Source organism: Homo sapiens, chromosome 4 (genome assembly GCF_000001405.40).
Source record: "Homo sapiens chromosome 4, GRCh38.p14 Primary Assembly".
Classification (NCBI taxonomy): Eukaryota; Metazoa; Chordata; class Mammalia; order Primates; family Hominidae; genus Homo; species Homo sapiens.
The window spans coordinates 182937205-182945180 of NC_000004.12; the positions used below are offsets into that span (position 1 = coordinate 182937205).

The window sequence follows — 7976 nt, forward strand, 5'->3', positions numbered from 1 at the left end:
TGTGTGAAAAGTACAGACATTGAAAGTAACCGTTTAGAAACAATTAAAGCAATCGGACAGAGTAATTCTCTGTCTATTGAATCTAATAATAAAAACCTGGGACCTGTATTTTGTATGTCTTCATTTTTTTTCTAGAAATCCCTTGATCTTATTTGACAAAAAATATAGATTCGGTACAGATCGTGGGGAAATCCCAGGTCCTCCCTCCCAGACTATTTGAGAAGCACTGTTTAAGACTAATGTTTGTAGTGAAGTCACAGTGAGAGCATGTTCTTTCTGATGCAAACACACCCACCTCCTGCCCTCGTGTCCTGCAGGCTGACCTGAGAGCCAGCTGCATAGCTCAAGCCACAAAGGAACCTAGTTTTTGGAAAGGGTGAGTATGAAAATAATACAAGGTAAAGAAAAGAATGTTACTTAAGATCTACTTATTATCTAAATCCTGCCCCCTTTTCTTAAAGACTGGAAAGACAAAGAAAAATTGGATATGTTTAGAAGTAAATTACCTCCCAGGCAGCAAGAGAGATTTAGAGGCTGGAGGTAAAGTATCTCTTTCTTAAAGTTCAAAGAGTGTGACAAAAAGGTAGATATAGAGACAGATGAGAAAAAGAGAACAGAGAATGAAAGAGCTCAAAGCAGCCCTGTATTAGTTTGCTGGGGTTACCATAACAAAATACTACAGACCAGTGGCTTCAACAACAGACGTATTTTCTCACAGTTCTGGAGGCTGGAAGTCCAAGATCAAGGTGTCGGCAGGGTTGGTTTCTCCTGGGGTCTCTCTGCCTGCCTTGCAGACAGACAGCTGCCTGCCTTGCAGACAGACAGCTGCCTTCCCTCCCTGTCCTGACCAGGTCTCTGTTGTTTGTCTTAATTTCTTCTTTTAAGGAAACCTGTCATATTAGATTAAGTCCTAACCATAAGACCTTCTTCTACCTTAATTACCTCTTTAGAGGCCCTATCCCCAAATACAGTTCCATTAGAGGTTAGGGCTTCAACATGTGAATTTTGGCGGAAGGGGACACAACTCGGTCCTTGACAGGACTCAGACTTCAAGGACACTCAGGGTTGTGCTCAGCGTGGACTCCAGGGGGCAGCAGAGATTTGCAGCCGGCCTGGGCAGAGGGCAAGGCCACACTCCAGGCCCGCTGTCGCGTGCCCTCGCCCTCAACGTTCCCTCTCGGATTTTCAGGAATTTCATTTCACGTCCTTGTTCCCTCCTATGTAACTGACAACGCAGAATCCGCAGGATGTGAGGAGTGGACCCCTTATTAACTCCAGTTCCCAAAATCACAAAAATATGGAACCAAAATGAGCTGCAATTGACAAAGCAGGATATTATACAGAGAAAACTCCTGAAAGCATGGCTAGAGATAAAGTAGCTGAGGTCTATATAACTTGCTCGTAAATTAAGGTGTTTTTAACATTTTAAAATTAATTTAGTTAATTAATTAATTTATTATTATTATTTTTGTGTGTGCGTGAGACGGTGTCTTGCTCTGGTGCCCAGGCTGGAGTGCAGTGGCACCATCTCGGCTCACTGCAACCTCTGCCTCCCGGGTTCAAGATTCTCCCACCTCAGCCTCCAGAGTAGCTGGGATTACAGGTGCCTGCTACCACACCCAGCTAATTTTTTGTATTTTTAGTAGAGACAGGGTTTCATTGTGTGTGTGTGTGCGTGTGTTTCTTTTTTTTTCTTTTTTCTTTTTTTTTTTTCTTTTTTTAGGAGTCTTGTTCTGTCTCCCAGGCTGGAGCAGAGTGGCACAATCTCAGCTCACTGCAAGCTCCGCCTCCCAGGTTCAAGTGATTCTTCGGCTTTAGCCTTCCGAGTAGCTGGGATTACAGGTGTGCACCACCACGCTGGGCTAATTTTTGTATTTTTAGTAGAGACAGGGTTTCACCATGTTGGCCAGGCTGGTCTCGAACTCCTGACCTTGTGATCCTCCCACCTCAGCCTCCCAAAGTGCTGGGATTACAGGAATGAGCCACTGCGCCTGGCTCAGTGTTTCGTTTTTAATTGACAGATAATATGTACATTTATGGGGGACACTGTGATTTTTTGATGCATGTATACAATGTGAAATGATTAAACCAAGCTAATTAACGTATCCATCACCTGACTTATTATTATTATTATTATTATTATTATTATTATTTTGGTGGTGAGACACTAGAAATTTACTCTCTTAGCAATTTGGTTTCTCAAAAAACAAAAAATAGAATGACCACGTGATCCAGCAATTTCATATATGGGTACATATCCACAGCAATTGAAATCGACATGCCCAGAGATATCTGCACTCCCGTATTTACTGCCGCAGTATCCACAATAGCCAGGATTTGGAAGCCACCTAAGTGTCCATCAACAGGTGAATGGATAGGAAAATGTACACTAGTGCATATACACAATGGAGTACTATTCAGCCACAAATGAAGCTTACAAGGTCACTGTAGCAGATGCTGCCAACGGCCTGGCCATGGTCCTGAGCCCTGATGTTGTGAAGCACACAAGCCCAAAGCTCCGAGGGCTTTCCTTGGTCAAGAGCCAGCTCTGTCTGCTGGCAGGGGAGGGTAGAAGTTCCGCTCCAGTGGCCCACAGCCAGAGCCAGGGGGTCCTCGTTCCAGTCTACACTGACCCAGCGGTCCCAGCAGGACTGAGCTGCAGCACCCTGTGACAGTCAGCTCGACGCCCCAGCCCGCACTGGCCGTGCTGCTTCCCTATGTCCCTTTCCCACCTCCTACCAGTGTTTCTAGGTCAGCTTCCACATCATGACTTGAGCTTGAATCTTCAGCTCAGTTGTGTTCCCACCCTCATAGATTACCTATTAATAATCGGTTTAATCTGGCAGACACCACCTTAACTATGTGAACAAATTTAGCATCACCAATAATGGGACAAATTGAGGTAATGGGAAGTACACAGCATCACCTGCAAAATATTCTTCATGAAAATCATCAAGTTCAATCAACCATGTGGGGCCAGGCGCGGTGGCTCACGCCTGTACTCCCAGCACTTTGGGAAGCCGAGGTGGGTGGATCACCTAAGGTCAGGAGTTCGAGACCAGCCTGGCCAACATGGTGAACCCCATCTCTTCTAAAAATACAAAAATTAGCCGGGCGTGGTGGCGGGCACCTGTAATTCCAGCTACTTTGGAGGCTGAGACACGAGAATCGCTTGAACCTGGGAGGCAGAGGTTGCAGTGAGCTGAGATCATGCCACTGCACTCCAGCCTGGGTGACAGGGCAAGACGCCGTCTCAAAAAACAAACAAACAAACAAACAAACAAAAAAACTACGAGGAAACACACTGTTCTTCAGTCAATTGTGTCTGGTGTCTGCCCAAAATCTCTCCATGTCGAAGTCCTAACATGCAGCATCTCAGAATGTGGCCCTATGCGGAAATAGGGTCTTTGCAGACGTAGTTGAGATCAGGTCACACTAGTGTAGGGTGGGCCCTAAATACAATGAATGGTGTTCTTTGTAAGAAAGTGGTGTGAAGACCGAGGCAGAGAAGAGTTATGCTGCCCATAGTCAAGGAGTGCCAGGAGCCAGTGGGGGCTGGAGGAGGCATGGAAATGATTATCTCTTGCAGCATTTGGAGGGCGCGTGGCCCTGCCAACACCTTGATTTTGGACTTAGAGTCACCAGAGCTGTGAGACAATACCTTACTGTTGTTTTAAACCAGGCAGTCTGTGCTACGTTGTCACAGCAGCCTAGGGAACTAATAACACACAAATTCAGATTGTGGGATGTTCTGCAAGACAACTGGTCTGATTCTTTAAAATATCAATGTCATAAACAGCAAAAACACACAAAAAATGGGTAGGAGATTGTTCTAGATGCAAAAAGACTAAAAAGATATGATAACTAAATGCACAATGTGGTTGTTGGTTAGATCCTGGATATTAAGGGAATAATTGGGAAAAACTGAATATGAGCAGATCAGTTTTAAATTTATTAGGTTTGCTAATGGTACTGTGGTTATGGAGATGTTCTTGTTCTTAGGATTACAGAGTACTTAGGAGAGACATATCCTGATAGCTACAATTTATTTTCAAATGGTTCAGAGAAAACAGTACATACACACATGTAACCACATAAACATTGAATAAGCAAATATGGCCAAATATTACTAATTAGTGATTCTAGATGAAAGGTATATGTATTACTCTTTCAACTTTTCTGTACTTTTGGAATTTTTCAAAATAATAAGTTTTGAGAATATTACATTTCATGTGGGTGTTGGTTTATGACAAACAATACCTTTTCACAGATATGAAGCCTATATTTATTTTCTAACAGAAAACAAATCGGTTGATTTTTGTTCCATTCACATCTTGTTTGCTTCTGTAGATATAAGAGATATACGACTGTCTCCTCTTTAGAAACCAGAAGGGAACTGAATAGACCGTCCTCCTAAAATTTAAATCTCTTTGGGTAGGATATTTAAATCTCTTTGGGCACTCTAGACTCTAGATATGTCATCGGGCAGACATCCCCTAAAACCAACAGGTGCACACACACACACACACACACACACACACACACACACACAGGACCAGGCACACACATGCATGCATGCCACACCAAACAAGTACATTTCTGAATTTCAACTAACTTGTCTTTTAGTCCTAAAAGACCAGTACCCCACAGTGAGATTCAGCGTTCTTTTTGAGAGTATTATAAAATGCTGTGTGACGGTTAATGTTAGGTGTCAACTTGACTGGATTAAGGGATGCCCAGAGAGCCAGTAAAGCATGATTTCTGGGTGTGTCTGTGACAGTGTTTCCGGAGGAGACTAGCATGTAAGTCTGAGTGGACCAGGTGGGGAAGACCCACCCTCAGTGTGAGCAGGCACCATCCAACCCGCTGGGGGTCCATAGAGAATAACAACAGAGAAAAGACACATGCTGATCCATCTGCTGGAGCTGGGATACTCTTCCCCTATCTTTGAACAACTCCAGGCTCTCCAGTCTTTGGACTCCAGGACTTATACCAGCAACCTCCCCTACCAACTCCCTGTTCTCAGACCTTCAACTTCAGACTGAGAGTTACACCATCAGCTTCCTGGTTCAGAGCCGGGCTACTGACATCCCAGGGTCTCCAGCTTGTAGACAGCCTGTCGTGGGACTTCTCAGCCTCCGTAATCACATGAGCCAATTCCTCTAATAAATGCCCTCTTGTCTGTCTATCTATCTATATATCCTATTGGTTCTGTCTCTCTGGAGAACTCTGAATACATGACCTTCTTTCATGGAATAAACCTTTTAAAATGTATTTTTCTCATTCAATTATTTAGGTTCAATGTTTATGTGGCAGTGCTGAGAACTCTGAATATGTTTCCATCATATTCAAAGTATTGCTACTCTCTGGATACCTCAGGGTAATTTCTGACATTATGACAAATATAAAAACCTGAACGGCTGAACTTGTGAGTACAAAGTAGTTTTATTATGGCATTATAAAGTATCTCTCAAAAGGACCCACTCAGTCATATACTAGAATTTATTTCTATAGAATAAAATTTCATTTTTATACTGGAGAATTGCAGGAATAGTTTCTTTATGTGTTTCCAGGCTTTGCTTCAAGCACAACTGGAAAGAATACCTCTGGCATTACCATAAGAATACAAGAGGAGAGATGTACCTTGATAAGGCCATAATTGTTAGCTGTAATATCTATACAATATGGCTATATTTTATGTAATGTATTAAACACTTATTTTTGAATTTAATAGGTAACAGGAATAGAATGTAAATGAAATTTAAATTGGTCAAAAAATGACAACAGGAATGACTAAGGTACAAACTTCCTCAGCCTTCTTATTCACTGTTGATTCTATTTCCTTCTTGAAGCTCTCCCTCCGCTGGCTTCCATGATGCACCTGCTCCCTAGTTTTCTTCTGGCCTCTGTGGCTGCTTCACTTCATTATCCTTGATGGTTCCTCTTCCTCCAGTCATGGCTGAAATATTTTTCCTGGCCCGATCCTCTCTCTAAACAGTCTCTCTGGGATCCTATCACAGCTTCAGCTGCCAGTGATGACTTCAGCATGTCCACCTTGAGCCAAGAGAACTTCAAAATCAAGTACGTATTTTCCCACTGGACATCTCTTCTCATGCCCCATAGGGACCTCAAGCACAACATGCCCAACACTCACACTGTCCTCCTTCTGCATTCCCTTGTCCCTCCTTCTGCATTCCCTTGTCCCTCCTTCTGTATTCCCAAATGTCCCTCCTTCTGTATTCCCAAATGTCCCTCCTTCTGTATTCCCAAATGTCCCTCCTGTATTCCCAAATGTCCCTCCTTCTGTATTCCCAAATGTTCCTCCTTCTGTATTCCCAAATGTCCCTCCTTCTGTATTCCCAAATGTCTCTCCTTCTGTATTCCCTTGTCCCTCCTTCTGTATTCCCAAATGTCTCTCCTTCTGTATTCCCAAATGTCCCTCCTTCTGTATTCCCTTGTCCCTCCTTCTGTATTCCCAAATGTCCCTCCTTCTGTATTCCCAAATGTCCCTCCTTCTGTATTACCAAATGTCCCTCCTTCTGTATTCCCTTGTCCCTCCTTCTGTATTCCCTTGTCCCTCCTTCTGTATTCCCAAATGTCCCTCCTTCTGTATTCCCAAATGTCCCTCCTTCTGCATTCCCAAATGTTCCTCCTTCTGTATTCCCTTGTCCCTCCTTCTGTATTCCCAAATGTCCCTCCTTCTGTATTCCCAAATGTCCCTCCTTCTGTATTCCCTTGTCCCTCCTTCTGTATTCCCAAATGTCCCTCCTTCTGTATTCCCAAATGTCCCTCCTTCTGCATTCCCAAATGTTCCTCCTTCTGTATTCCCTTGTCCCTCCTTCTGTATTCCCAAATGTCTCTCCTTCTGTATTACCAAATGTCCCTCCTTCTGTATTCCCTTGTCCCTCCTTCTGTATTCCCTTGTCCCTCCTTCTGTATTCCCAAATGTCCCTCCTTCTGTATTCCCAAATGTCCCTCCTTCTGCATTCCCAAATGTTCCTCCTTCTGTATTCCCTTGTCCCTCCTTCTGTATTCCCAAATGTCCCTCCTTCTGTATTCCCAAATGTCCCTCCTGTATTCCCACATGTCCCTCCTTCTGTATTCCCACATGTCCCTCCTTCTGTGTTCCCAAATGTTCCCCCTTCTGTATTCCCTTGATCAGCAGGTGATATCCTTTTCCCAACCAAAACTTTGGGATTACCTGAGACTTCTCTCTATCCCTTGCCCTAAAGTTAATTGCTCAAGCCTTATTGATTCTATAACCTGTTTGTTTTTTTTTAAAAAAAGAGACAGGATCTTGCTCTATTGCCTAGGCTGGGGCACAGTGTCACATTCATGGCTCACTGCTGCCTCAAACTCCTGGGCTCAAGCAAAAATTCTCCAGCCTCAGCCTCCTGAGTAGTTGGGATGATAGTTGTGAGGCACCTTGCCCAGCTAATATTAAAAAATTGTTTTTGTAGATGTGGGGTCTCACTATGTTGCCCAGGCTGGTCTTGAATTCCTGTCCTCAAGTGATCCTCCTGCCTCAGCCTCCCAAAGTGCTGAGATTACAGGCATGAGGCACTGCACGCAGCCTTTTAATTTTTTTTCCTTTTCCCATCTTCACTTTCAATGACTTGGTTGATGAGTCAACATTTCTAGTAATATTCCAAAATTATTTCCGTCTTTTGGAGGTTGTGAATCTACTCCTTAAATTATTTTCAGAATGATTTTTTAAATATGCAAATACTGTCATGTCACTACTGAGAATCCTCCAATCCCTCCCCTTTAATGAATGGCATTTAACCTCCAATTCTTGCTCTACTGCCTCACAGCTGTCTGGCTTTGTACACACTGCGTTCTTTCTCTGGAATGCCCTTCTTCCACTGGCTTGTCTAGCCGGTGCCTACTGTCCTTGAAAGAGTCAGCTCAACCATCATCTCATCTGGGAAGACTGTTCTGTTAGTATTAGGATACACTGATTAGGTATCCCTCTG

The 7976-nt window shown here is 43.5% G+C and overlaps 1 long non-coding RNA gene across 1 annotated transcript; it reads left to right on the plus strand.

Moving 5' to 3' along the window:
• Positions 1-220: 220 nt before the first annotated feature.
• Positions 221-5934, plus strand: LOC105377577 (uncharacterized). The gene is made up of 3 exons (XR_939536.3): positions 221-376; positions 5297-5428; positions 5853-5934. It is a non-coding gene; the product is annotated as an uncharacterized LOC105377577 (long non-coding RNA).
• The last annotated feature ends 2042 nt before the right edge of the window (positions 5935-7976 follow it).